The sequence below is a fragment of the Homo sapiens genome, chromosome 22, assembly GCF_000001405.40.
Source record: "Homo sapiens chromosome 22, GRCh38.p14 Primary Assembly".
In the NCBI taxonomy this organism is placed as follows: domain Eukaryota; kingdom Metazoa; phylum Chordata; class Mammalia; order Primates; family Hominidae; genus Homo; species Homo sapiens.
Window position 1 is genome coordinate 37,009,736 of NC_000022.11, and position 26,704 is coordinate 37,036,439.

The 26,704-nt window shown below is 54.7% G+C and overlaps 2 protein-coding genes and 1 long non-coding RNA gene across 10 annotated transcripts, besides 11 other annotated features; 2 read left to right on the forward strand and 1 right to left on the reverse strand.

The window, feature by feature from the left end:
* On the reverse strand, positions 1,124-10,448 carry TST (thiosulfate sulfurtransferase). Of its 2 annotated transcripts, none has more exons than NM_001270483.1 (3): positions 10,427-10,448; positions 8,403-9,018; positions 1,124-1,590 (listed from the first exon to the last, which is right to left on the reverse strand). In NM_001270483.1, the coding sequence occupies exons 2-3, from the start codon at positions 8,995-8,997 to the stop codon at positions 1,292-1,294; spliced, it is 894 nt and encodes a 297-aa protein (NP_001257412.1). In that variant the 5' UTR covers positions 8,998-9,018; positions 10,427-10,448; the 3' UTR covers positions 1,124-1,291. The 2 variants fall into 2 exon arrangements, with proteins under 2 accessions (NP_001257412.1, NP_003303.2); NM_003312.6 differs by lacking the exon at positions 10,427-10,448 and adding an exon at positions 9,665-9,712 and having other exon boundaries at positions 1,130-1,590.
* Positions 2,290-2,790: an enhancer, noted in NCBI's record as "H3K4me1 hESC enhancer chr22:37408066-37408566 (GRCh37/hg19 assembly coordinates)". NCBI's record gives its function as "activates a minimal SCP1, AML or CMV promoter by ChIP-STARR-seq in naive H9 embryonic stem cells {active_cell/tissue: H9 hESC(naive)}" and the evidence as "EXISTENCE:reporter gene assay evidence [ECO:0000049][PMID:30033119]".
* Positions 2,791-3,291: an enhancer, noted in NCBI's record as "H3K4me1 hESC enhancer chr22:37408567-37409067 (GRCh37/hg19 assembly coordinates)". NCBI's record gives its function as "activates a minimal SCP1, AML or CMV promoter by ChIP-STARR-seq in primed H9 embryonic stem cells {active_cell/tissue: H9 hESC(primed)}" and the evidence as "EXISTENCE:reporter gene assay evidence [ECO:0000049][PMID:30033119]".
* Positions 8,255-9,230: an enhancer, noted in NCBI's record as "H3K27ac-H3K4me1 hESC enhancer chr22:37414031-37415006 (GRCh37/hg19 assembly coordinates)". NCBI's record gives its function as "activates a minimal SCP1, AML or CMV promoter by ChIP-STARR-seq in primed H9 embryonic stem cells {active_cell/tissue: H9 hESC(primed)}" and the evidence as "EXISTENCE:reporter gene assay evidence [ECO:0000049][PMID:30033119]".
* Positions 9,234-9,293: a silencer, noted in NCBI's record as "silent region_13673". NCBI's record gives its function as "represses an Ori minimal core promoter by ATAC-STARR-seq in GM12878 lymphoblastoid cells {active_cell/tissue: GM12878}" and the evidence as "EXISTENCE:reporter gene assay evidence [ECO:0000049][PMID:35858748]".
* Positions 9,234-9,843: a biological region, named in NCBI's record as "H3K27ac hESC enhancer GRCh37_chr22:37415035-37415536".
* Positions 9,259-9,760: an enhancer, noted in NCBI's record as "H3K27ac hESC enhancer chr22:37415035-37415536 (GRCh37/hg19 assembly coordinates)". NCBI's record gives its function as "activates a minimal SCP1, AML or CMV promoter by ChIP-STARR-seq in primed H9 embryonic stem cells {active_cell/tissue: H9 hESC(primed)}" and the evidence as "EXISTENCE:reporter gene assay evidence [ECO:0000049][PMID:30033119]".
* Positions 9,454-9,843: a silencer, noted in NCBI's record as "silent region_13674". NCBI's record gives its function as "represses an Ori minimal core promoter by ATAC-STARR-seq in GM12878 lymphoblastoid cells {active_cell/tissue: GM12878}" and the evidence as "EXISTENCE:reporter gene assay evidence [ECO:0000049][PMID:35858748]".
* Positions 9,874-9,993: a silencer, noted in NCBI's record as "silent region_13675". NCBI's record gives its function as "represses an Ori minimal core promoter by ATAC-STARR-seq in GM12878 lymphoblastoid cells {active_cell/tissue: GM12878}" and the evidence as "EXISTENCE:reporter gene assay evidence [ECO:0000049][PMID:35858748]".
* Positions 10,004-10,323: a silencer, noted in NCBI's record as "silent region_13676". NCBI's record gives its function as "represses an Ori minimal core promoter by ATAC-STARR-seq in GM12878 lymphoblastoid cells {active_cell/tissue: GM12878}" and the evidence as "EXISTENCE:reporter gene assay evidence [ECO:0000049][PMID:35858748]".
* Positions 10,007-20,080, forward strand: MPST (mercaptopyruvate sulfurtransferase). Of its 7 annotated transcripts, none has more exons than NM_001130517.4 (4): positions 10,007-10,039; positions 14,017-14,192; positions 14,457-15,075; positions 19,481-20,080. In NM_001130517.4, exons 3-4 carry the CDS (start codon positions 14,481-14,483, stop codon positions 19,777-19,779), a joined length of 894 nt encoding a protein of 297 aa, NP_001123989.1. In that variant the 5' UTR covers positions 10,007-10,039; positions 14,017-14,192; positions 14,457-14,480; the 3' UTR covers positions 19,780-20,080. The 7 variants fall into 7 exon arrangements, with proteins under 7 accessions (NP_001123989.1, NP_066949.2, NP_001013454.1 ...); NM_001369904.2 differs by lacking the exon at positions 10,007-10,039 and adding an exon at positions 10,085-10,137; NM_001369905.2 differs by lacking the exons at positions 10,007-10,039; positions 14,017-14,192 and adding exons at positions 10,085-10,137; positions 17,264-17,360.
* A 2,233-nt stretch (positions 20,081-22,313) lies between these two features.
* On the forward strand, positions 22,314-25,778 carry LOC112268295 (uncharacterized). Its single transcript, XR_002958751.1, has 2 exons — positions 22,314-23,591; positions 24,824-25,778. It is a non-coding gene; the product is annotated as an uncharacterized LOC112268295 (long non-coding RNA).
* Positions 23,069-23,586: an enhancer, noted in NCBI's record as "H3K27ac-H3K4me1 hESC enhancer chr22:37428845-37429362 (GRCh37/hg19 assembly coordinates)". NCBI's record gives its function as "activates a minimal SCP1, AML or CMV promoter by ChIP-STARR-seq in naive H9 embryonic stem cells {active_cell/tissue: H9 hESC(naive)}" and the evidence as "EXISTENCE:reporter gene assay evidence [ECO:0000049][PMID:30033119]".
* Positions 23,679-24,344: an enhancer, noted in NCBI's record as "H3K27ac-H3K4me1 hESC enhancer chr22:37429455-37430120 (GRCh37/hg19 assembly coordinates)". NCBI's record gives its function as "activates a minimal SCP1, AML or CMV promoter by ChIP-STARR-seq in naive H9 embryonic stem cells {active_cell/tissue: H9 hESC(naive)}" and the evidence as "EXISTENCE:reporter gene assay evidence [ECO:0000049][PMID:30033119]".
* Positions 25,779-26,704: the final 926 nt, after the last annotated feature.

Here is a 26,704-nt window from a genome sequence, read left to right on the forward strand (position 1 = left end):
CTCTCCTCTCCTGCAACTTCCTTCCCCCACATGCCTACATGGCTTGCCTCTTCACCTCCTTCAAGACTCTGCTCACCTTCCCAGACCACCTTTTCTTAAAAAGCATCCCAGCCCACCCCACACTCCCTACTCCTATTTTCCAACCTTTTCTACCATTGCACCTTATTGCCATCTGACATACTGTGTATATTTGCTTCTTCTTCCCACAGTAGGATCTGAGCCACATGTGAGCTGGGAAGAGGACTGTTTTGTTAGTGGCATGGAAGTGAGAGGGGTCAACCCTCCAGACTACCAGTCCCACCACTACAGGTCCCACCGGCCTCAGCATTCAGCCCCATCACCCAACCTGCCAGCCCCAAAACCAACCTCCTCAGCATCTCCTGAGCACCTATTTGCCCCAATGCCAAGCCAAGGACAGACTTGGTCTCCGGCCCTCCAGGATCCTGTCTTCACTGGGAAGGCTGGATAGTGGGGAGCCGGTAGTCCCCAGTAGGTGGGGCCCGGAATTCTTCTTGCAACCCCAAAGGAGGTCTAAGAGAGGCTGTTTCTGGGAAACTTGAAATCCAGCCACATGGGGCCAAGCTATCAGGTTGCTTTCTTCTACTGTGGCTTCCTGATTCACCTGCCAGAGCCTGGACCTTCTCCCAGGGCCAAAGCTCTTTCTCCAGCCCCTCCCTCCACTGCTCCCCAGGGGGTCTTACTCTGAGCCAGAAAAGGTGCTCGAGACAGAGGCCACCTTCCTTTCACCTGCTCCTGAGCATGGCCTCTTCTGAGAGGCCCTGGGTCTGTGTGACACCTCTATGGACATATTGGGAAAGCCAGCTGTCCCTCCGCCCCTACCCAGGAGGCTGGGGCTACAGCAGCTGGGGCTTCAGCTCTCTGGCTTTCTGGTTCCCTTCCCACCTGTCTTCCTGGTAGGACCCAGCATGCTCTGGGACAGAGTCCACCTGACATGGGACAGCAGGAGGCTGTTTCTGCCAAAACTGGGTGAAAGTGGTGTCCTCGGTATGGCTTCCCCAGCCAGAGGGGCTATGGTGGTCTCTGTCCTTGGTGGAGTCTCCGGAGTTTGAAAGAGATGGAAGTTTGGGGGCAAGGATGGAGCCCAGAGAGAGGCAGGCAAACACACTACTCAGAAAAGGCAAAGTTTATTCCAGTGTTGACAGAGAGAGGGTGAGCCTTGCACAGCAATTCTAAAAACATGTCATCTCCTTCACCTAAGAGGTAAGAACCGGCTGTAAGTCATGGGGTCACTAAACCGGCCGCAGTTACAGTAAGCAGAAGAGGTCACGGCTCAGGCCTTCTCAGACTTTCCCTGGGACACACGGCTCTCTGGGGGGGCCCGGCGAAACCACTCGGACCAGGAGCCATCGTACACGGCCACATCAGGCTTGCCGCAGAGGTAGGCAGCCAAGGCCACGTGGCAGGCGGTGACTCCCTTGCGGCACGTGGCAATGAGAGGCTGCGAGAGATCCACCTTCTTGGTCTGGAACAGAGCACGGAGCTCTTCTGGGCCCTTCTCGAAGCCATCCTCAGTCAGGAAGTCCATGAAAGGCATGTTGACGGCACCACGGATATGGCCCGAGTCCAGTCCTGGGCAGGGCAGAGGACACAGCTTAGGGGATGTATGAGGGGTGGGGACTAATGGGGCCTGGAGGATTCCATCAGCTATAGCTGGAAGGATAGATAGCTTTGCAAATAAAAATAACATCTTTGCTCTGCTTGGAGCTCAATTTATTCCCAGCCCCACCTATTATCATTTCTCATGACTTAAGATGCCTGCAACTCCTCTCCTAACACCTGTCTTGAAGTAGAGATGCCCAAAATCACACCTGCTTGAGAAGACAGCGGCATGAGTCTCAGCTCCACTAACCTTTACCTTGGGCAAATCATTTCACTTCTCTGAACCTCAGTTTTCTCATCTGTAAAATGGGCTCAGTGGTACATACCTATCTCACAGCCATGTTGAGAAGAGCAAATGGGACAACTTATTGCAAATGCTATGTGCTGAGAACACAGCGGTGAAAGGCAGAGACACAGCCAGGCCCTCTGGGAGATTCCAGTCTAACAAGAAAGGCAGATGCTAAACAGATAACCACATAACTAATCAGATATGTCCCCATTTTACAGATGAATCCGCTGAGTCTTGGCAAAACAACACGGCTCACCTAAGGCCACACAGAAAGATGAAGGCAGACCCAGGATTACATCGGGGCCTCTGGTTTTCTGTTAAGCACACAGTTGCAGAAAGAGCAAGTGACCTGGTGTCAGATGTGAGGTCAAATCCCACTGGAGCAAGTTATGTCAGCTCTCTGAGCCTCAGTTTCTCCATAGGAAAAATGGAAATGAGAGTATCCACTGTGTATTGGCTGCTGCACGAAGCGGGTGGCACAAGGAAAGCGCTGGCTTTGGAGGCTGGCCCACCCACCCTGCCATGCTGCGCCCCCAGCCACTTCACCACCCATGGAGGGGGTAGGGGGAGAATAGGGACAGTGTGGGCCTTTTTGGTCCCCTCCAAGAACTTGGATGGAAGCAGAGTGGAGGGACTCGGCTGGCTCTAGAGTCCTTTCTGGAACTGTCTCAGTACCCAGTGAGGGCCCTCGGCCAAATCTGGCTTCAGAAGAGCCAGGAATTGGGGCAAAGGGGAAAGCCATGGCCAGAGCTGGTGCCACCCACAGGGTGAGGCCACAGGCCAATCTCACACATGCCCCAGGCCACTCCTGTCTTCCTCGAGCAGCCCACACCCTGGCAGGGGTGGGGGCTCTATGGTTGGCCCCACTCCCAGTGCCCAACCTGCACTTTGGCCTGACACAGGCCTATCTCCATCTCTTTGAGCCCTCCTTGCTCCCCAAATCCCCACCCCCATTCAACCTGGATTATGGGACAGGGCAGGAGCAGGGTGGCAGGAGTGGGAGGGGAAGGATCTGACTAGTGTGGCCAAGGCATATACTGGGGCTGGGTACAGCCAAGCAGGCCCTGAACCTCCGAGCCTCAGTCTCCCTCCTGCAGAACGGGGACAAAACCCCACCTAGGCCGGATGCAGTGGCTCACGCCTGTAGTCCCAGCACTTTGGGAGGCTGAGGTGGGTGGATCACAAGGTCAGTTCAAGACCAGCCTGGTCAACATGGTGAAAACCCGTCTCTACTAAAGATATAAAAAATTAGCCGGGTATGGTGGCATGCGCCTGTAATCCCAGCTACTCGGGAGGCTGAGGGAGGAGAAACGCTTGAACCTGTGAGGCGGAGGTTGCAGTGAGCCGAGATCACCCCATTGCACTGCAGCCTAGGCAGCAAGAGCGAGACTCCGTCTCAAAGAAAAAAAAAAAGTAAACCTCACCCACCTCACAGGTGTGTGGGGAAGTCTAACTACTGCAGCTAAAAGCACCCAGTGACCCTGGCAGGCACACGATTCGGTACATCATCACGCCAGCTATGTCCTGGTCCTTTCACCCCGGGGCCAAAGAGGATTCCAAAATCTATTAGTACAAGTCGAGTTTGATTGGCAGTGGTGTTTACAATCAACTGATCACCAGTTACAGATTTCTTTCTTCCTTCTCCACTCCCACTGCTTCACTTGAATAGCCTGAAAATAAAGTAGAAAGGCCAGGCATGGTGGCTTACATCTGTAATCCCAGCACTTTGGGAGGCCCAGATGGAAGGATTGCTTGAGCCCAGGAGTTGGGTAACATAGCAAGGCCCCATCTCTATAGAAAAAAAAAAAAAATGAGCCAGGCATGGTGGCATGCACCTGTAGTCCCAGCTACTTGACAGGCTGAGGTAGGAGGATCACTTGAGCCCAGGAGACTGCAGTGAGCTGTGATCATGCCACTCCAGCCTGGGTGATAGAGCAAGACTCTGTCTCAAAAATATAATAATAATGAATTAAAAAAGGAAGTTTGATTGCATATAACGTATAAAATTAGAGCAATTTCTTCCTGTTGTGTTTCACCTGCTTTGCCTGGAAACTTGAATCTAAGATGTGTGCCCACCCTACCAACGAGGAACAATGGATCAGCTGGCATCGAGGGCATTCTTTCCCAAGAAACCCAGCTTTAAAATGTTTCCACAGTGGGCTGGATTGAAGTGCATTTGAAAGCACAACGGGTTGAATCCTGTTTTGTTGTCCCCATCCCTGATGACACAGCCCCACTGTGTTCTTCTTATTACATAAAGGGCACCCCTTCTGAGTAAAGATGAAGTCAGGGAGTTTCTGTAGAGCGGGCCTCCCACACTGGGCCAGCTGGACGGGGTGAAGCAAGGGGAGCTCAGGGCCTGTCTGGGGCATTTAAATGAACTGTGGGAAGGGCTGAGATGAACCTGGGCCAGAGAACTTTCAAGAACAGCCAGTTTGGCCGGGCGCGGTGGCTACGCCTGTAATCCCAGTACTTTGGGAGGCCGAGGTGGGCGGATCACGAGGTCAGGAGATCGAGACCATCCTGGCTAACACGGTGAAACCCCGTCTCTACTAAAAACACACATACAAAAAAAATCAGCCAGGTGTGGTGGTGGGCACCTGTAGTCCCAGCTACTCGGGAGGCTGAGGCAGCAGAATGGCGTGAACCCAGGAGGCGGAGCTTAAAATGAGCCAAGATCGCACCACTGCACTCCAGCCTGGGTGACAGAGCGAGACTCCGTCTCAAAAAACAAACAAACAAACAAAAAGAACAGCCAGTTGGTGGAAAGGCACGTTGGGCCAGAAAGCAGAGGCTCCCATGCTTCTCTTCCCAAGTCTAGCTGAAGGCTTCTGGCTCTCCCTGCCCCCAGCAGGCATGCCCCCATTCCCATAACCTGCGGCACCAGGCACTTGACAGCAGGTGCTCTCAAGAATTTTATCCTCCTCAATCCTCACAAAGCAGGGGAGATTATTCTCTCAGCATTGCTGGGGGAGCCCAGGCTCAGAGAGGTGATGTCGCTTGCCTCAGGACACACAGCAAAGGTAAGTCTGATTGGTCTGCCCCCAACGCCTGTGTTCTTTGACCACCCTGAGCCTCCCTGGAAAAGGAGACTGAGGCTGGGGAATGGATGAGATGACCTCTTGTACTCAACTACTAGAGTTAACATCCCTCAGGCCACTGGTAGGTGTGGATTTTTAAGGCCAGGAAAAGCTGTCTGGCGCTTTCTCCTTTTACTAAGGAATCCAGAGCAGGCAGCCCCAGAAGGCAACCCCTTAACCCTAGCCAGGAAGAGGCAGCCCTGCACCTTCCCTCCTCCCTCAGCCAAGCTCCCAGCCCTGGGAGGGAGAGATAGGCAGAGTGGATTTTCAGTCCCATACAGCAGCCCGGGAGCCACACCATGGAGCCGTGACCTTTCCCTCAGCCCCTGGGCTTGCTTACAGCTCACCCCACCCACAGCAGTAGCCTTGGGAAACAGCCCCAACTTGAAGCCTGCCGACCTGGGGTCAAGTCTCTGCCACTTTGTCTTAACAGAGAAGCCCCTTCCTTGTCCCCACCCACAAAGTGGGACCCAGCCTACCTACCCCTGCCTGCCTCCCCTTGCAGGGCTGCTGTAGGTGTCCAGAAGAGACTATATAAAAAGCGTTCTGTAAATAAAAGTGCTCATTAGCGGGTCGATACCCTCCTCCCTTCTTCACCCTCACTCCCTCCAAGAAGGGAGGCAAAGAAAATTAAGTCGATAAAGAAACTGGGCTGGATAAACTCCTACTCTGCCTCTCTCACTTCCTCCAGCCCTCCTCTCAGGTGAGCAGCGCTCCTTTCACGAACAACAGTTAGCGGTGAAGGCACTAGCCTGAGGCTAAGCATCAGTATCACACCTGGATGGAACCTCAGATCTGGCTGACTCCAGGACTAAGAGCTTGTGGAGGCACAAAACTACAGCCAAAGAGGAAGGCGCTTGCCTAAGGTGAGCAGGAAGTGGCCGCCAGGTGTCTAAGCTCTGCTTCTCGCTCCATTTAGGGTCATTCCTTCCAGAGATGATCAGGGCCAATGCCTGACCCCCAGGTCTGCCACCCCCATGCCCCTGTGTGTTACATCTGGACCGCTGAACCTACAGGGTGCCTCCCTGATCCCACACCACGCTGGGAACCATAAACTTGGCAGAGCCTCATGTGCCTTTGTGTCCCCAAAATATCTTGTATGGGAGGCCAGCAAAGCCTCTTGGAGGAGGGGGTTGGGGGGGAAGTGCCACACCCTCCAGGATTTGTATCGTTCCTTACCCTTCTTGAAATCCCTTTCCAGCCACTGCTACTTTTTTTTTTTTTTTTTTTTTTTTTTGAGACAGAGTCTTGTTCTGTTGCCCAGGCTGGAGTGCAGTGGCGCGATCTTGGCTCACTGCAACCTCCACCTCCCGGGTTCAAGCGATTCTCCTGCCTCAGCCTCCCAAGTAGCTAGGATTACAGGCACGTACCACCAACGCCTGGCTAATTTTTTTTTCATTTTAGTAGCGACGGGGTTTCACCATGTTGGTCAGGCTGGTCTCGAACTCCCGAGCTCATGATCCGCCCACCTTGGTCTCCCAAGGTGCTGGGATTACAGGCGTGAGCCACCACGCCCGGCCGCCACTGCTACATTTAAACAAATGCATACTCATGTGGGTAGGGCTGGCGTGACTCTTCTCATTTTATGATAAGGAAACCCAGAGAGGCCAAGCAACTGGACTGAGGTCACTCCAAGGAGGAGTGGCTGAGCTGAAATGAGAATCCATGTTCCCTGATGCTCCTGAGGGAAACTGAAGGAGGTGTGAACACAATTACAGAGGAGGAACTTCAGCATCCCGGGCCTTCAGGAGGCATTACCCACTGCAGGCCATTCTCCTCCTCTGAGCCTCAGTTTCCTCATCTGTAAAATGGGTGAGGACATTGGGCCTGGCACCTCCAAGCTGTCCCTTCCACTTATTTCTTAGGTTGCTTCAGGGCAGGCTGGGAAGCAGCAAGAGAACCAATTCCACTGATCCTCCCCCATGACAGCTTAAATCCCAAGGAGAAGAGGCGTCTTGAACCAAGGCCAGGAGAGGGCTGCAGGCGTTCCCAGCCAGGATTCTCTGGGAGGTGCCAAATGAACTTGAATCTTCAACTCCAGACCTTCAGAGAGCAAGCAGGCAAGAAAAATATGGGGCCTGGAAAAAGCTGCGCTGGAAAGGGCAGAGACCCTGCTGTCCTGGCTCTGTCACTAACTAGCTATGCGGCCTTGGCCCCTGCCTCTGTGCACCTCAGTCTCCCCTCTGTCAGGTGAGGTCACCGTTCAGGCCCTCCAGCTCTAAGAGTGTGCAGAACAGTTTTCCCAGCATTCTCTCTGTAGGAGGTACAGACAGGAAGAGATGTTTTTCAACAAGTCAGGCAAAATGTTGCACACGAGTTAGATTCTGTAGAGAAGGAGCTCTGACTGAGGAAAGAGCCACCAAGGAGGTGCCCAGAGACAAGAGAGGGCCCTGCTCCTGGAAATGGCCAGGCAGGGACTGGAGGGCACTCAGCAGGAGTGATGGCAGCGAGACGGCAGTCCTGCCTCTAGAAAAGGGAAGACCTCCGAGGTTCTGTCTGGCTAGGAGGTTCTAGAACTCAGCATTTCCTCTCCTGAGGCTCTCCCCAACCCTCAAGCAGTATCCAATCCACCTGGCCTTCCCTTCCACAGGAGGGGAACTTCTGAGTCGCCTTCCTGGGGCAACTAGCAGAGGGGACTCCCTCCTGGCCCTGGGAAGTAGGGGTAGGGCAGCATTGGGTGCGTCCTGGTTTATAGCCCTGGTTTGAAACAAGGCAGCATTGGATTCGAATCCTGCCTTCCACCACTTTATGTCCTGGCATCTCAGTCCCCCCACCCCCCGCTGCCAAAACAGGGGCATTGAGCTTTGTTCGCTGAGATAATGCGGTGCCAAGTGTCTGGCATGAAATGGCAGCTGCTGTTACAACTCTGCCGACGGGCTGCAGCTGCCTGGAAAGGTTATGGAACCTTTGCAAACAGCAGGCAGGGGCCCCAGGAGAGCTAGATTTGGGGAGAGGGGGATCCTGCGGGGAGGGACACTGTTGATGTCTATAAGGGTTTCTGCGGGACGAGAGAGGCCTGGAGAAGCTGGATGTGTCCGTGGGAGGTTTCTGTACAGCAATGCAAACGCTGGCTCAGGGGCATGACACCCTTAGGTATATCCTAGTACATGTGGGGCAGCTGGTGCCTGGGAGTGGAGGTGGTGGACATGTCACCAGTGACTTCTGCTCACACAGATGCTAGGTGGCTTCTTAGCACATGGCTATGAGGACACATTCTTGGGTCCTTGTGCATCCAAGCTGAAAAAGCCTTTAGGTTTGTCTCCACTTTCTGGTTTTATCGATGGAAAGACTGAGGCCTACATGGGAGGATTGAAGGCATGGGACGGACCCTGGAGAGGGTCCCAGTCATCCTTACTCCCTATCCTTCCATGGGGCAATACTCCCCAGGGACCACCCAGCACTGGGACACCTACCTACTGCATCCGGCTCCGGCTCGGTGCCCAGGAACCGCCCTTGAGACCTTGAATCCACCAGCTGGAACCTCTTAGATTCAAGGTTCTCCAGCACCTGCTCGTAGGTCTTGAGCAGGGAGCGGTCCAGTGTGGCTTTGAAGACGGCCGGTTCTGGGCGTGAGGGCTCGGATGTCACCGGGTGGCCCTCCTTCAGCCAGTTCCGGAAGCCACCATTGAGCACTGATACGGTGCGGTGGCCAAACACACGGAACATCCACCAGACCCGGGGAGCATAGAAGCTGCCCAGGTGTTCACCATCATACACCACCACGTGCGTGTGGTTGCTGATGCCCAGGCGGCCCACATACTCGGCGAAGCCAGCCTCGCTGGGCAGCATCATCTCGTAGGGCGACGCCGTGTCCCGGCACTCTTCTATGTCAAAGAAAGAGGCGCCGGGTACGTGGCGCTCGAGGTACTCCTTGCGGGCCTCTCGGGTGCCTGGTGAGTACCAGGACGCGTCCAGCACCCGCAGGCCGGGCCCCAGCTTGCCAGTCCTGATGGACTCCGCCAGCCACTTGGTGGAGACCAGCGCCCGGTAGAGCACCTGATGAACCATGGCTTCAGCTCTGCGTGTCACCTGGCACGGGTGGGAACCAGGAAAGAGAGACAGGCGTGAGGAAGGAAGTCGGTGTGTGCAGTAGGGTGAGGCCTGGGAGAAGCTCTTTCTCCCTCCGCACTCCCCCGGGTTCCTTGTTTACAGCAAGCCAGCGAGGCTGGGGCGTGCAGCGGGATAAGTTTGCAGATTCCCTCTGGAAAGCCGGCCCCGCCCCTCCCAGCCGGCCCGGGGGCCCAGCGCAGAAGCGGGTGGGGCAAGAGTTTCCGAGGACTCCAAGTAGGGGCGCTTCCTGGGGCGGGGATCTGGCTCCTAGAAGTTACAGTACTCGATCCCGCCAGGAAAGAGCAATGAAAGCATGCCCGGGATGGGGGGCGATGGCATCTTGGGCTTAGAATCCCCTTTCCTTCCAAGGCAGAGGGGGTGGGCGCACGGCTAGGAAGCTCCGCGAGCCGCGCACACGCCATCGCCTGCGGCCTCCCCAGGCAGCCCGAGCTCGCCCGCCTCCAGAGTGCCCGAGTCCGGCCCGTAGCTCGCTGCCCTCTGCCCTAGGTGGATCAGGGGTTCCCGGGGCACCCCGTCCCACTCTCGCAACGCTATCCTTCCCCGGGCAGCAGGTGGCCCGACCGGCGGCCCAGGCGCCCGGCCGCTGCCCCCGCCCCGCACTCACTCGCCCCGGACGCCGCGCTGGCGCTCGCCCCGGCCGGCTGGAGAAGTTGGCCGGTTCAAACCCCCGGCCGCAGCTCCCCAGGCGGCGCGCACCATCGCGCCACCGCCAGAGGGGGACCCTGCGCCGCCCGCCGCCATCCCGCGCCTCCCCCGCGCGGCCGCTTCGCGCCCGGCACCTGCCAACCTCGCGCGCGGGGCCTCCGGGACCCGCGGGGGTCTGAGGGGGACGCCGGGTGGCGCGGGGGCCGCGCGGGCCTGGGCTGGGCGGAGCGGGCGTACCCCCACGGCCCGGCCAGTGGAAGGCGCGGGCAGCAGCGGCTCCGAGTGGCCGCGGCGGTGGGCTGTGCCGGAGTCTCCTCCCTTTGGTCCGCTGCAGGTTGGTGGCGGGAGGAGGGGACAGCTGCGGGCGCGGGGAGGGGGCGCCGCGCCGCGGGGGCCATGGCGGAGCCAGGAAGCCGGGAGTCCGAGACCCGGGTAACTGCCGCGGCGTGGCGGCTTGCCTTTCTGGAGGGGGAGGGAGTGGCTCTTTGGGGGTGCTCGGCGCGGGGCTCCCGCGCGGGACCTGGGCGGAAGAGGGGGCTTAGTCTAGGAGAGAAGGCGCGCCGCTACGTTGGCACTAAGGGTGACTGTCCGCTTGGGGCGGCCTGCCGGGTGGGGTCGTGGCGAGTGGCGGGTGGGGAGCCTTGGGTGGAAGTGGGTGACCTGGTGGCACCAGAGAGGGCGGGGGAGAGAGAGGAGGACAGGGAGACGAGACCCCGCTGACCCAGAGGCCCCAGGAAGAGACACTAGCCAATAACTTGTTAGTGAGTGAAAGGAACTAACATTGTCCAGCCCTGCTTGGTGTGGCACTTTGCTGGGTACTCCCGTGGTGTGACTTAATTCCCACAATAACCCTGAGGAGTAGGCCAGAAACTTACTAAGACAGGAGAGAGCGGCAGAGCGAGTTGCTGGAGGACACACCCAGAGTTGAGGCCGGGCCTGATCCCTGGTCTGAAGCCCACGTGGTACCAGCTGCCTTTGTTTACCTGGCTCTTCCCTGAAGGTTCATGCTTTTTAAAAAATTGCCTGTTTTGAACTTAGCCCGTTTAATCATAAGTTGATGTAATTCAATTTTTAATAATAGCTGTATTTAACAACCAGTTGGCAAAATTCCTGAAAAGCTCGCCATGGGCTCTTGCAAACTGGGGGACACCATTGCCCCTCCCTAGCTTTTGCAGAGGCCAGCCTGGAAGCTTTCCCTGTTTCCCAACCCTGACCTTTTGTTTTGTTTTGTTTTTTGAGACAGGCTGTGGTTCTGTGGCCCAGACTGGAGTGCAGTGGCGCCATCTCAGCTCACTGCAACCTCCGCCTCCCAGGCTCAAGCGATCCTCCCACCTTAGCCTCCCAAGTAGGTGGGACCACAGGCATGTGCCACCATTCCCGGCTAATTTTTAAATTTTTGGTAGAGATGGGGTTTCACCATGTTGTCCAGGCTGGTCTTGAACTCCTGGGCTCAAGTGATCTGCCCATCTCAGCCTCCCAAAGTGCTGAGATTACAGGCATGAGCCACCATCCCTGGCCTCATCCCTCTTTTTAAAAAAAGGTTTTGTTCTAAAATGCTCACAGCAATCCTCAAAGCCTAGTGTCTGGTGGTTGGGGGAGGGGGTGGGCAGGAGGGACCAGGCTGGGGAGGTCCAAGAGGAGCTCCCAAGCTCTGCTCCTCAAGGGGTACCCTGGATCCAGCCTGCGGCTCACGCTTGCTTCAGTGCAGCTGTGTATCCTTCTGACATGAGCCTGGGGCGGTTACGTCCTGGGGTCCTCCACTCCCAGGGCACCCTCACCTACAGTGATCCCGGCTTCTGAATCACACAGGCACCTGGTTTCTACCCCTCCCTGACACCCACAGCCTGCCTTCACACCCTCCTTTATGGCCCACAGACCTTTGTGAGAAGTGCCAATCAAGCAGGGAGACTGGGGCAGGGTGACCTCAGATCTCTGAAGTCCCACCAAGCCCTGAAATTCTAAGATTTTAGATTTGCTGCTGGCAGTTCCAGGGCCACCAATGAGAGTAATGGAAGAAATAATGCAATATTATTATTATTATTATTATTTTGAGATGGAGTCTCACTCTGTTGCCCAGGCTGGAGTGCAGTGGCGCGATCTCGGCTCACTGTAACCTCTGCCTCCCAGGTTCAAGCGATTCTCCTGCCTCAGCCTCCCGGGTAGCTGGGACTACAGGCTCATGCCACCATGCCCAGCTAATTTTTGTATTTTTAGTAGAGATGAGGTTTCACCATGTTAGTCAGGCTGGTCTTGAACTCTTGACCTCGTTATCCGCCCGCCTTGGCCTCCCGAAGTGCTGGGATTGCAGGTGTGAGCCACCACGCCCGACCTAAACCGTTTTTAATGATTATTAAAACCAGCCAGATGTAATGCATGGTGGTTGCCCCTCTACATTTATTGTTTAATCTTGGCTCTAAGAGGTGGAGGTGAGAAGCTCCATTATAAGGAACAGAAACCACCCAGAGACCCTACACACCCACATCACACAACCAGTTAAGCAGTGGAGTGGGGTTTACATTGATTTGGGGGGCTCTCTGGCTCCTAAACCAGGGCTCTTTCTACTGTAAATGGATGATTGGGTGAGGGAAACAAGGATCCTCAAGAATAGGGGACAGTGTTTGGGGGTGCACAGGGGCTGCTGTGGTTCCCACAATAGGGTTCCTCAGGAAGGAACCTGCAGCATCTGCCAGCACAGCGCCCCCTAGCTGTGCTGTAACGCAGATAATGGGGATCACCCCTTAGCCAAACACCCCTTGGCAGCCTCCCTACCCTAAAGACCGTGCTGAGGCTTCCTGGGCCCCTGGAAAAGTCAGATTAGTCTGGACTTCCTCCTACTCCAGGAAGCCTTCCCACCTCTTCTGCTGCCACCCCAGGCAAACATAGGGGCCCTCTGTGCTCAACACTGAATTCTAAACTATCCTCAATTTCACTCTCTCTTGCCTGCAGCCTGACGTTTCCCCCCAGGGCTTGGCAAAGGCAAGAGTGCCTCGGTGTCCGGCACAAGGCCTGACCGCATGGGTGAAGTAGGTTCCTAAAAGCCAGCTGCGGCCAGACTGTGGGGGTGGGCACAGGGTGTCACCCTAGAACTCATTAGGCCCTGGTCATCATGGCACCTGGGGCAGGGGAAGTCCAGCCTGAGGGGTCAAATTCTGGCTGCAAATCCTGAGGCTGCCTCCTGTGACCACGGGCAAGGCACTTATTCTTCTAATTGCCAGTGGCCTCATTCATAAAGCAGGCGTCCTAATACCCGCCCAAGGCTGCGGTGCCTAGCATGTGACCTGGCCCACAGAGGCACTCGGTCCACAGATGTTGTTCTCTACCTGCCCCCTTCATTTCGCTGGCAGGACTGCATGCAGTGGGTGTCAAGGTTGGGCCTCACACAGGGGATAAGTGAGGGCTGATCTGCAGCCCATACTCCACACACCCAGCCATGTGCCCTGGTGGGGGCTCAGCCTCTGCCTGGCAGAAGGGGCCCTTTCCTCTCACCTGCACAACGGTGGCTTCCCAGCACAAAGGGCTTAAAGTGTTTGGGAAGTTTACACCCAGGAAGGCTGTGGGCTGGCCTGGCATAGTGGGCTGGCGAGCTGGTGCACTGTCTCTGGTATGCAGGAAAGATAGAGAGGAGAGGGAGGGAGGTGCGAAGTCACTGTTGCTGCTGCTAGAAGGGCCAGAGAGAGCCCAGGCTGGACAGGCAAAACCTGGCCTCGCCAGACTCCTGGAGCCTGCACAGAGTGTGTGTCTGAGAAGTCCGGATTCTGGTGCCAGACTGACTGCCTAGTGAGAAGCCTGGCACCGCCGGGTCAGGCTAGTGCACTTTTTCTTGTTTGTTTTTTGTTTTTGAGACAGAGTTTTGCTCTTGTTCCCCAGGCTGGATTGCAATGGCACGATCTCGGCTCACTGCAACCTCCGCCTCCTGGGTTCAAGCAGTTCTCCTGCCTCAGCCTCCCGAGTAGCTGGGATTACAGGTGCCCTCCACTAAGCCCGGCTAATTTTTTGTATTTTTGGTAGAGACGGGGTTTCACCATGTTGGCCAGACTGGTTTCAAACTTCTGACCTCAGGTGATCCACCTGCCTGGGCCTCCCAAAGTGCTGGGATTACAAGCGTGAGCCACCGCACCAGGCCAGGTTAGTGCACTTCTGTGAGCCTGAGTGTCCTCCTTGAAACGGTGACAATAATATACCAGGCCTCTTAAGATCACTCATTCAACACATACTGGAGAGTCTACTGTGTCAGGCATTGTTCTAGGATATTGTTAGGATTCAGTGGTACCCAGCAAGGACTCAGTAAATTCCAGCTACTGTTCCTATTAGGTCGCCAATATAAATGCTTGATGAGTGAATGAATGACTTCCGTCTGGGACTTGGTTGCAAATAAAGCCGAGCTGCATCTTAGGGAGGGGTGGAGACTTTGCCCCTGTTTGTGCCTTGAAGCCAGCAGGGCCTTGCCCTAGGATACCTCCACCCACCCTCCTGCCCAGCAAGTGGAGGTGAGGGGCGTGGCCTGGGGCTCTCCGGGAGGTCATGGTCATTGGGTCACTCGGAGCTTGTGTTTATATGAGGCCTGGCAGAGGGAGGCCCCTGGCTACCCACCTTTGTGCCCGGGTTCACCACCACTGGTTTCTGCGTTCCCTGGACTCTGCCCTGCACGGGCCGCACCTCCCCCGCCGGCCCTCGCCCATGCTCCAGCCCCAGCCCTAGCCCCAACAGCGGCCTCTCCCTGCTTCCCTTCTGACATCCTCCCTGTCGCCCAGGCCCGCAGCCCGAGTGTCGCCGCCATGGCTTCGCCGCAGCTCTGCCGCGCGCTGGTGTCGGCGCAATGGGTGGCGGAGGCGCTGCGGGCCCCGCGCGCTGGGCAGCCTCTGCAGCTGCTGGACGCCTCCTGGTACCTGCCGAAGCTGGGGCGCGACGCGCGACGCGAGTTCGAGGAGCGCCACATCCCGGGCGCCGCTTTCTTCGACATCGACCAGTGCAGCGACCGCACCTCGCCCTACGACCACATGCTGCCCGGGGCCGAGCATTTCGCGGAGTACGCAGGCCGCCTGGGCGTGGGCGCGGCCACCCACGTCGTGATCTACGACGCCAGCGACCAGGGCCTCTACTCCGCCCCGCGCGTCTGGTGGATGTTCCGCGCCTTCGGCCACCACGCCGTGTCACTGCTTGATGGCGGCCTCCGCCACTGGCTGCGCCAGAACCTCCCGCTCAGCTCCGGCAAGAGCCAACCTGCTCCCGCCGAGTTCCGCGCTCAGCTCGACCCCGCCTTCATCAAGACCTACGAGGACATCAAGGAGAACCTGGAATCCCGGCGCTTCCAGGTGGTGGACTCCCGAGCCACTGGCAGGTTCCGCGGCACCGAGCCCGAGCCCCGAGACGGTAACGCGGGGGAAGGGGGCAGGAGGTCGTCGGGGGCGCGGCCTCTACGCCCTGAGCAGTGCCCTGGACTTGACCTTTCTTTTATTTTTTTAATTTATCTTGCTTTCATTTCCTTTCCTTTTTTCTTTCCTTTCCTTCCCTTTCCCTTCCCTCCTTTCCCCCTTTTCCCTACCCTTGCCTTCTTTTCACAGGGTCTGGCTCTACCGCCCAGGCTGGAGTGCAGTGGCACAATCATGGCTCACTGCAGCCTCAACCTCCTGGGCTCAGGTGACCCTCCCCGCTCAGCCTGACCTTGCCTTTAAAGGCCACTGCATGAGGTGGGGAAGGAGATTTGACTTCCACTTGCCTCGGTGACTTTGTCTGTTAAGCAGAACCATAATACTGGCCCTTCCCCTCCTGTGCTTTGGGCAGTGACTCTCCCTAGCTCATTGGGAACCCTGGTTGCCCAAACAGCTCTCAATCCAACACTAGAGGTGTGGGGGGTCACTGTGGAATGTTGGGGGGCAGGCCCCAGTATGAGAGAAAAACCCAGAGGGATGGTCCTGATCAGGGCTACCCATGCCCCTGAGGATGGTGGAATGAAGGCAGAGTCGGGGGCTGCATAAAGGAAAGTCTCTTCCAGGGACCAAAGCTTGGAGAACTGAGGGTGGAAGGGGGATTAAACAGAAGTGGGTAGGGCAGAGCCTTCTGCCTGTGGGCTGGATTTCCTCAGGCAAGAAGCCTGTGGGTAAGCTCTGTATAATGCGAGGAGGAGTCCCCACAAAGCAGGCTGGTCAGTGGTCACGCTAGTGTGAGTCTTTCAAACATCCCGTGTAAGTAGATACTGTCATTGCACAGAGGAGGAAATGGAACCTGGCCCAAGGTCTCAAGAAACAACCCAGCCGGGATTCAGACTCGGCAGCCTGCGCACTTAACAGCCGTGAGCAACCAGGAACTCCCCAGCCCTTTCTCTTGTGCCTTCAAGAGTGCAAGAAACTGACCACTGCCCCTAGAGAGCTCTCTGAAGAGCATTCCCATGGCTACAGATTGGGTTTGGAGCCGCTTGGGCTCACCATGGGCCAGCATTGTTTTGGATGGCCTGAGGGCAAGGACTGTCCCTGCTCTTCATGCATCCTGAAGATTAGCTCAGTACCTGGCACAGAGTCGATGTTCCAGAGAGGTTTGGTGAATACAGAAGGTCCCTGTTGCATGGAATCCTGCAAAGCAATGTTGGTGTTACCGGAACCATAGGAAACAGCTGATATCCAACCATTTTTGAACCTACACAGGTGTCAGTTTCATGTGGTTCAGCCTAATGAGAGCACCACCTTAATCCTGTTGGGTTCTCCATCTCAGCCCCAGGGGAATGAGCAACACAGGGGAGCTAGCTGGTGGTGCCAGACTGGGGTTCAGATCCCTGCCACATTTACATGGGCTTTGTGACACACGACGGGTCATCTAATGTCTCTGAACTGCAGCTTCTGCCTATGTAGAATGGGAGCAGTAACACAGAGCATAAAGACATGATAGGGGCAAGGAGAGCAAGTGTGTAAAGCACTCAGCTCCGGGTTTTCATGCACAAGTGTGCTGCACACTTGTGCCTGACACTTATTCAGTCGCACTAGCTCATCTATAGAATGGGAGGTGATACACGCCTAGCAGGCTTGTTGTCAAAACAAACTAAGCTCACTGCAGCTGGATCAGTGATGAATGTCACTGTCGTCATCATTCCCACTCCACAGCCTGAGGCCTGGCCAAGTGCTCCTGTGATGTGCCACACCAGTCCAGCAGGCAGGGGAAACATGCTTTGCTTGGTGGGATTCAAGGTGTAGGGATGGCCCTCCCTTTACAGTCACCACCCTGGGTTGAGAGTTTGTTCCTCCTCCTTGCTCTGGGCTGGTCTCTATGTGATATCTGACCAAGCCCGGTAACTGTGTCTGTTAGGTGGGATGCATGACCCATTCCAGCCTCTCCACAGACTCGGGAGTGCTGTCTCTATGCCAGGGTCTGAGAATAGATACCGATACATGGGTCAGCAGCTCCTGTGGGGGTGTCACTCCACTGCGGAGGGAAACCAAGGCAGAAGCTGGACAAGAGTCTGAATGGCTCAGATTTGAATCATTCGTTTTTGGGGGGTTTTTTGTTTGTGTTTGTTTCTGTTGTTGTTGTTGTTATTGTTTTGAGACGGAGTTTTGCTCTTGTTTCCCAGCTGGAGTACAGTGGCGCAATCTCGGCTCACCACAACCTCCGCCTCCCGGGTTCAAGTGATTCTCCTGCCTTAGCCTCCCGAGTAGCTGGGATTACAGGCATGTGCCACCACGCCCGGCTAATGTTTGTATTATTAGTAGAGACGGGGTTTCTCCATGTTGGTCAGGCTGGTCTCGAACTCCCAACCTCAGGTAATCTGCCCCCCTCGGCCTCCCAAAGTGCTGGGATTACAGGCGTGAGCCACCGTGCCCAGCCCAAGCGTTAGTTGTGAAGGTTTATTTTGTTGCAAATCCCAGTCCTGCATGAAAATGGGAATGTTAGTAACCCCTGCCTCAAGGTGGGGCAGTGAAAACAAAAAACACCCTGGGAGTCTGCAGAGGTGTGGGCCTTTCCCATCCCATTCTTTCTGCTACAATCAAAATGATCGTTTAAAAATGGAAATCTAGGTTGGGCAAGGTAACTCCTACCTATAATCCTCACACTTTGGAAGGCTGAGGTGGGAGGATCCCTTGAGCCCAGGAGTTCAAGACCATCCTGGACATGATGGCAAGCCCCTTCTCAATAAAAAAAATTAAAAGTAACAGTAAAAAAGTAAACGCAGAAGCCTGAGTTCCCCCTGCAGTCAGGTCAAAGCCCCCAAGTCTTACTCCAGGCCTGCTAAGGCGTTCCCATCCCCTTCAGCTTCCCCTTTGGGCCTCTGGCTTCTCACTGTCTGGGCTTTCGTGACAATGACCTTTAACCCCTCCGGGCAACAGGTGGTTCCCTCGCCTTTCAGATTCCCTCTGCCTGGGATGCTCTAGGCCTCCATCCACCCAGACCCCTTTATGTGACTGAATCCTACTCATCCTTCGGGGCATTCTCAGAGAAACTTCCTCCACCCACTGAGCCCCCAGCCAGTGTGGCGTGAAGGTGGGAAGCATAGACTTGCCTGGGTTTACTCCTCCCTGCCCTCTGCTAGCTTGCACAAGCTAGTCTTTGTACTTCATTCTCTTCATCTTTACAAAAGAGAGGATAATAATTTCTTTCCCAGAGAATTTTGGGGTGGATTCAAGGAGAAAGTATAGCTGACCGTCTCCAAACAGTGCCTGGCAGAAAGTAAGCATTCAATAACATCAGCTATTGGCCAGGCAAGGTGGCTTACTCCTATATTCCCAGCACTTTGGGAAGCTGAGGCAGAAGGATTACTTGAGGCCAGGAATTCAAGACCATCCTGAGCCACATACTGAGACCCCATGTCTATAAAAACCAAATTAGGCCAGGCGTGGTGGTTCACACCTGTAATCCCAGCACTTTGGGAGGCCAAGGCAGGTGGATCATCTGAGGTCAGGAGTTCGAGACCACCCTGGCCAATATGGTGAAACCCCGTCTCTACTAAAAATACAAAAATTAGCCAGGTGTGATGGGTGCCTGTAATCCCAGCTACTCAGGAGGCTGAGGCAGGAGAATCACTTGAACCCAGGAGGTGGAGGTTGCAGTAAGCCAAGATCATGCCACTGCACTCCAGCCTGGGCAACAAGAGCAAAACTCCATCTCAAAAAAAAAAAAAAGAACAAAAAAAGGAAATTAGCTGAGCATGGTGGCATGTGCCTGTAGTAGTCCCAGCCCCTCGGGGGGAAGCTGAGGCAGGAGGATTGCTTGAGCCCAGGAGGTTGAGGCTGCAGTGAGCCTTGATCATGCCACTGCACTTCAGCCTGGGCAACAGAATGAGACCCTGTCTCAGTAATAATAATATCAGCTATTGCTGTTACTGGCGTTATTTTTTTTTTACATGCCCCAGGCCACCCAGTAGGGCACTTTTGGAACACCCATTATGCTTGTAATTATTCAGTTGCCTGTCTGCCCTGCCAGATTAAAGCTCCTTGCCTGCAGGTACTGCACGTTCTAGCTAGGCAGGGGTCTTGTTTATTGCTTTGCTGTCCCTAGGGTGCATAGTCAGGAAACCTTGGGGCCCAGTTCTTAGGTTCAAAGTTCAGTCAGCAATTTGCTAGATGTGTTAGCCTCAGGTGGTACTTAACCTCAGCATCACCGTGTATAAAATGGGGGCTCCTCTAAACAGTGCTCAGGTTTTATGGTTGTGAGAATTAAATGAGATGGTGGATATAAAGGATTTAGCACCATGCTTGCATGGGATGCTCTCAATATCTCGAGCACCACAAATACGAGGTACCATTCATAGCATCCTTCTATTTGTCCCCTCCTCCCTGCTCCCCTGCTGTAGGCATTGAACCTGGCCACATCCCAGGTACCGTGAACATCCCCTTCACAGACTTCCTGAGCCAGGAGGGGCTGGAGAAGAGCCCTGAGGAGATCCGCCATCTGTTCCAGGAGAAGAAAGTGGACCTGTCTAAGCCACTGGTGGCCACGTGTGGCTCTGGCGTCACAGCCTGCCACGTGGCACTAGGGGCCTACCTCTGCGGCAAGCCAGACGTGCCCATCTACGATGGCTCCTGGGTGGAGTGGTACATGCGCGCCCGGCCCGAGGATGTCATCTCAGAGGGCCGGGGGAAGACCCACTGAAGCTGGGCAGGACACAGGCGAGCTCAGGTGATGCCGGCCACCAGCAATGCCTGGCCTGGTAGCTCCGCTTCTGCTTTCACCAAGAGAGTGTTTCTTCACTCAACTCAGGTGGCATTTGGGGTGACATCTCAAAGGCCAGGAATTCCGTTGACTTGTTGGCTGCCAGTAGGGGCGGGAGGAAAGGCGGAGGCGAGCCCTGGAGGAGGGAGGCCACAACTCCGAGCTGCCCACCTGGTGCTGAGCTGGGGCCCCGCCTCCTTTCTGTTTTATTTTTGAGGAAATAAAATAACCAAGTGCTAAATCTTGTAGCTCTGGGGCTGCCTCGGTTTTCCTAAGGAGCCAGGGGTTCTGTCATGCCCAGCAAAGGTCACTCTGGGGAGCCTGAGGGTCTTGGAGATCCTGTCTCTGCCTTCCAAGCAGTGCTGGGGCCCCAGAGCTCCCCACTTCTGTGACTGAGCTAGCCCCTAGCAAGCTGTCCCTCACCCCATAATCCTGGGCGTTCTCCCTTCTGGCATCTGGGCTATTTAAGGTGAATTTTGCTGTGACATGTCTGTGGTCCCACCCAAAGCTACTCTCCCACCACCTGCCCTTCTAGCAGGTAAATAGTACATCTCATTTCCAGAAGAAGATGGGGCCAGAGCTTAACAGAAGCCTGTGCCATGCCAAGGAGGAATGTCCCAGCCCAGCTGGGATGTTCTAGGGAAGGGCTAAGCTGAGCTGAATTGGAGGAGAACCTGGCTCTAAACTCTGGAAGCTCACACTTGGGGGCTGGTCTGTGGAATTCCCGGAGTGGGTGGACCCAGGGAGTTTGATTCTTTCTGCTCAAAGAGAACATCTCTCCCCATTTCCCAAGGGTAGGGGTTCCATCCTCCTTGCCCGGGATTTATCCTTTGTGCAGAGGTGGACGTAGGTGTCTGAGAAGGCCCCAAACTCCCCCCTGCCCATCACGACCTGGATTGCCCCTCCCCGTCTTTCCAGCCCTCAGGCACCATCTCAGCAGCGCAGGGGCAGTGTCCTGCCAGGCGGTACTGGGGAGAGCTCGAAGTTATCTTATTGGCCCTTCCTTTGGAAACGAGACCAGAGAGGGGCAGTGACTTACCAAGGCCACACTGAATTTATGAAGAGCCAGGGCCAGATCCAGATTCCCTGACTCAGTTTATTCCTCTTTTCACCTGACTGTATCCCCTCAACTTCCCCCTGATGCTGAGTCATTTCCCAAGTCCGCAGGGACGGGAGAAATCGACACAGCCTAGAATCTTGGTTTTCCAAGTAAGAGCTCTAAAGTAACTCCCAACCTCTCGGAGCCTCAGTTTCCTCCCCTAAAACATGGGAATCGTGTACTTCCGAAGAAGAAACTCAGATGAGAGCCCTTCCAAGAGTCCACTGCAGAGTCCCCGTTTTCCACACCGGGGGTTCTCAGCCTCAGTGCTGCTGACATTTACACTGAATGATTCCTTGTCATGGGGGCCGTCCTGTGTGCTGGGGGATGCTTGGCCGCGTTTCTGGCCTCTGCCCACTAGATGCCAGTAACACTGCCCAGTTATGACAACTGAAAGTCTCCAGATGTGGCCGGATGTCCCCTGGGGGGCAAAAATCACCCCCAGTCAAGAACCACTGCCCTAGGGGCAAATAACACAATTGACCACTGCAGTCAGGAACAGTGTAGACAGGGAACCCCAACATGGAGGGGCTCCCCGACTCCCCATCATAAGCACCTTCTCCCAGAAGTGGAAGTGAGGCAGTTTAGACACTCCCCCCTTTCTGGCCGGTCTCAGACAAGCTTTAGTTTTCCTTCCTGGAATGGCTCTGCCACTTTGAGGAGACAAGTTTGTCTGCAAACATGTGAGGTTCTGATCCAGCTTCCAGTCCCAACCACTCCACACAAGGCAGCCTGACCTCGAACATGCTGCCCAGCCTCTGCAGGCTTCCGTTTCTTTTTTCCCCCCCACCCCGAGATAAGAGTCTTGCTCTGTTGCGCGGGCTGGAGTGCAATGGCACGATCTCGGCTCCCTGAAACCTCTGCCTCGCGGGTTCAAGCGATTCTCCTACCTCAGCCTCCTGAGTAGCTGGGATTACAGGCACTCACCATCACGCCCGGCTAATTTTTGTATTTTTAGTAGAGACAGGGTTTCACCATGTTGGCCAGGCTGGTCTCAAACTCCTGCCCTCGTGATCCACCTTCCTCGGCCTCCCAAAGTGTTGGGATTACAGGCGTGAGCCACAGCGCCCAGACCCGTTTCTTCACCTGTAAAACGGGCAAAATAGTACCTTCCTGGCCAGCACGGTGGCTCACGCCTGTAACCTCAACACTTTGGGAGGCATAGGTGGGAGGATCACTTGAACTCAGGAGTTCAAGACCAGCCTGGACAACATAGTGAGACCTCATCTGTAGGCAAAAATAAGAAAAAAGATGAGCCGGGCAGAGTGGCATGTGCCTGTAGTCACAGCTACTTGGGAGGCTGAAGTGCAAAGATCGCTTGAGCCTGGGAGGTCAAGGCTGCAGTGAGCTGTGATGACACCACCGCACTCCAGCCTGGGAAACAGAGCAAGATCGTATCTCAAAAAAAGAAGTACCTTCCTGAGCAGTATGAGGATTACATGAGATAATCCACAGAAACTGTTTTGCTTGGTGCAGAGTAAACACCAAGGGTTTCTTCCCATTAGTTTTAAAGGAGTTTTACTTATTCAGCATGTTAAGTGCCTTCTGCACTTCCGGCATTGGAGGAGAGAGAGTGACAAATAGAATTGTGTCCCAGCCCTCTCAAAGCTTCCAAACTAGGGAGGAGAAACTAGTCTTTTAGAGTACATTTCCAGAGAGAAGGGGGTGCTGTGAAATGATCTATTTCACAACAGACTAATTTTACAGGTGGGAAAACAAGCTCAGAGAGGTTCAGTGATTTGCCTCAGGGCACACAGCTAGTTTGCTAGAGGAACCTAACTGGAGTTAGAATTCTCCAGGGGAGGAGTTTCTCCAGCGGATCTTGCCTGCCATGGTTTTCCAGATTCCAGGATCAAGGTGAGAACAGAAACGCATGAGAAGCTCAGGGAAGATGGCCACGTGTTTCTCAGCTCCACAGGGAAACCTTGAGCAGTGGAATTTAACCAATGGGTTTGGGTTAGGCGCCCTTCCCCTACCCTAGTCCAACCTGCAGCAAGGAAACCAAGGCTGATTCCAGCCCGGGCTTTTTTCTCCTGGGAAGGTCCTCCTTGGGTCTGGACAGGCTCGGAGGTGACCTGCCTAGAGGTGGGCGATCTAGCCGCACCTTTCTAGGACTACAGAGCTTCAGTTTAACTTTGCAGGAGTTTGTTAGGAATGAACTAGACACGCACCCTCCGCCCAGCTCCGTCCCGCCTCCTGCAAGCCTGAACTCTTAGAATAATTAACCACTGACTGCAGGATCCTGGCCTCTGCCAGGGCCCGCCCTACCCAACCTGTGTGTTCGAGGCAGGAACTTGCAACACTGAGCAACAAGAATGATGAAATTTTTATCCACTTGGCAAATATTTGCTCGGCGCCCCCTCTGTGTCAGGAACAGTTGGAAATGCGTTTCCCAACCTTGCCTAACCAGCTGCCCTGGAATGTTTTCCACTTCCTGGGTCATTGCCTCCAGAGATCAAAGCCCCCATCCACACAGTGGGCTGAATATGGATCCATGCAGCGATCTGGTCCTGGTGCTGTGGAATCAGCTTTGCACAAGGCCCCAGAAGGTCTGCGTTCCAGAGCCTTCCTGTTGGGGCCTCAGTCTTCTCATCTGAAAAATGGGAGCAAACTCAGTTCTGCCATGCCCAGTGTGGGTGTGATGTCACATCAGGTAAGGCTCAAAATGAAGTCAGGTGTCACACCTACTGGAATAACCTCAGCTCTATAAGCACAATGGAGCTTTATTATCCTTAACTCATGGAGGATGAATCACTTGGGGGAAGATGAAATGTTGAAATATTCAGGTTAACGGAAAGTGTTATTTTAAGCACCTAAATTTTTTGCCTATTAACCTACTAGGGGTGGAACTTGGTAGGCTGATCTTGCCTGAACTTCTGGGGGCTTTGTTTGATCCCTTGATTGCACAGCGATACCTGCAGGGGCTCCTTGCCCCTCAACTGTCAGGATGTTGAGGTCTTCAGGTCCTCGATACTGAATCCTAGCTGACTGCCCTTCTGGTTTCCCGTCTGTGTTCTCTGGAGTCTCCCTCGGCCTGCTTCGAGGCGGGCCCGCTCTCTAGATAATGCTGCCATTCGGATGGTTTCAACGACTGTGCTGAGCCAGTGACTCTGGAATCGGGGCCTCCCGCAACTCGATTCCTCCTGAACTCAGATCCCTGAGTCATGGCCTCCCAGCCCCAAGCCTGCTCCTCCACCTGTGTCCCCTGTCTCAGTGTGCACGGTCACCACTTGTGGGTCACCCAGGCCCACACCTGGCAGCAAGTGATCTGAGACTCTGTCCCACTTACCTACAGCCGGTCAGACCTCCACCTCTACTCCCATTGCCTTTGTCCAAGTCCCCCACTCAGCCCGCACCCAGCACTCAGCCTGTCTCCTCCATTCATTCCAGGGTACTTCCTAGGGACAGGCCCTGTGGCAGGATCTGGGGGCATGGAGGATAAAGACCAGCCCTGAGAGGGGGCATTCGCCCCATGGGGAGGGACAGACATGGATCCTGGCAACAGCGTGGCGAGGAGTATCTGAGAAGTGGAAACACAGAGAACCGCCATGGGTTGGGGGGCTGGTTCTGGGTCTGAGAGGCACCTCCACACCCACGCATAGTCCCTTTTATGAATTCCCTGGACTGTGCCCTCTTGCTCCAGGGAGAGCTGCAGCAGGGGACGGTTCAAAGGGCAGCCTCCGGAGCACCCTGACCTCCAACTCCCTGGCCGTGAGTGTGGGCAGAGGGGCCTGGATTTCCTCATCTGAGACGTGGCAATAATCCACTTTATAGGATTGCTGTGAGGATGAAGTGATTTGGTTCATACATAGCACTGAGAGCAGAAGCTGACCTCATAAGCACCAAATCCACGGGCTTGTTTGTTTGTTTGTTGTTTGTTTTAAGATGGAGTCTCGCTCTGTCACCCAGGCTGAAGTGCAATGGCAAGATCTCAGCTCACTGCAACCTCCACCTCCCAGTTTCAAGCGATTCTTGTGCCTCAGCCTCTGGAGTAGCTGGGATTACAGGTGCCCACCACCACACCTGGCTGATTTTTGTATTTTTAGTAGAGACGGGGTTTCACCATGTTGGTCAGGCTGGTCTCAAACTCCTGACCTCAAGTGTTCTGCCTGCCTTGGCCTCTCAAAGTGCTGGGATTACAGGCCTGAGCCACTGTGCCCGACCACCATGTTGTATTGTTACTGTTACTGCTCTCCTGTCCTGCACCTGCCCTGCCTGCCTCCCTTGGCTGGGCTGTAAAACCTTGAGGGGTAACGTATCTTATTCATGTTTCTTGTCCTGGTACCAGCACAGCAACTGACATGGATGGGGGGTTAGGGGCTCAGAAAGCATTGCCCTAAAATATGGCGCTCTGACATGAAGCAGCCTCAAGGTCTATCTGACCTCCCTGCCTCCTTCTCTGAATCCTCTGTCTCTCTCAAAGTGCAGGATGACGCTGTTCTCTGAAGTTTCTTTATCTGCCTAGAAACGGGACCTGCCAAAGGGGAACACAATTACCTTCCCTGGAATATCATTAGCTAGAGGTTAAAACTCATATCCTAGAGGATATGAGACTGAACATTAAACACCACACCTACAGCCCAGATAAACTTCATCCCAAACCATTATCTGCTCTCTTTCCCTTTCAATGTCCAAAGAAATTATTAATTATCATCTGGACGCTGGACTCATTCATTTCCCCCCTAAAAACCATTGACTGTCCTTCAAATTGCCACGTGTCCCCCATCTCTCCTTCCCCCGTGAAGAAGGGCGCATGCACCTGTACCCCACTGGGTTATTGGGTAACTTCTGTGATTCCCTCATGCTCTGCACGTTGAAATAAATTTTGTCTTTTCTCCAATTAATCTTCCTTTTGTCTGTTGATTTTCAGCGAGCCTTCACGAGGAGAAAGGGAAGCTTTCCCTTTGTCTCTGCAGGGGCCAATGAATGTTTAATATTACACAAGTACACTCTCAGGGCTGAGAGGCACCTTAATAACCCCTCCTGTTTACTGTTTCCATGTGCCAGAGAGGATGCTAAGTGCTTTGCCTCCATTTACTCTAACCACTCCGAGAAACAGGTGTTATTATCCTCCATAAGTCAGGTGATTGAGGTCAGGAGTTCGTGACAGCCTGGCCAACATAGTCAAACCCCGTCTCTACTAAAAATACAAAACATTAGCTGGACGTGGTGGTGGGTGCCTGTAATCCCAGCTATTTGGGAGGCTGAGGTAGGAGAATCACTTGAACCCAGGAGGCGGAGGTTGCAGTGAGCTGGGATCGCGCCACTGCACTCCAGCCTGGGCAACTTTGCCTCAAAAAAAAAAAAAAAAAAAAAAAGTCAAGTGACTTGCCCAAGATGACAGGAGAGGTTAGATCTGGGGCTGGGCTCTGAATCCTAGACAGAATGACCACAAGGCTTTTGTCCACTACAAGACAGAATTGGGGAGGGGATCACAGAAGAGGGAGCAGGCTTCTCTCTGGGTGGGGAGGTGTCATACACCCCTTAAAACACATAGGTGTGTATGCACACGCACACAAACACATGCACGTTCACACCTTTGTACACAAGTGAGGAACAGGGCAACCAAAGGCTAATTTACTTGTCTGGCTAGCTGTGTGCTCTTTGATATGTTTCTCCGGGACTTTTTTTTTTTTTTTTTTGAGACGGAGTCTAGCTCTATCACCAGACTGGAGTGCGGTGGCACAATCTCAGCTCACTGCAACCTCCACCTCCCGGGTTCAAGTGATTCTCCTGCCTCAGCCTGCCGAGTAGCTGGGACCACAG

Bases quoted from the DNA above. Each gene is read 5' to 3' on its own strand.
- TST (NM_001270483.1), bottom strand. From the start codon at position 8,997: ATGGTTCATCAGGTGCTCTACCGGGCGCTGGTCTCCACCAAGTGGCTG. The intron at 1,591-8,402 runs GTAGGTGTCCCA...TGCCCTGCCCAG, and splicing joins GCCGGAGCCGGATGCAGTAG to GACTGGACTCGGGCCATATC.
- MPST (NM_021126.8), top strand. From the start codon at position 10,102: ATGGCGGAGCCAGGAAGCCGGGAGTCCGAGACCCGG. The intron at 10,138-14,456 runs GTAACTGCCGCG...CCTGTCGCCCAG, and splicing joins GCCGGGAGTCCGAGACCCGG to GCCCGCAGCCCGAGTGTCGC. The intron at 15,076-19,480 runs GTAACGCGGGGG...CCCCTGCTGTAG, and splicing joins CGAGCCCGAGCCCCGAGACG to GCATTGAACCTGGCCACATC.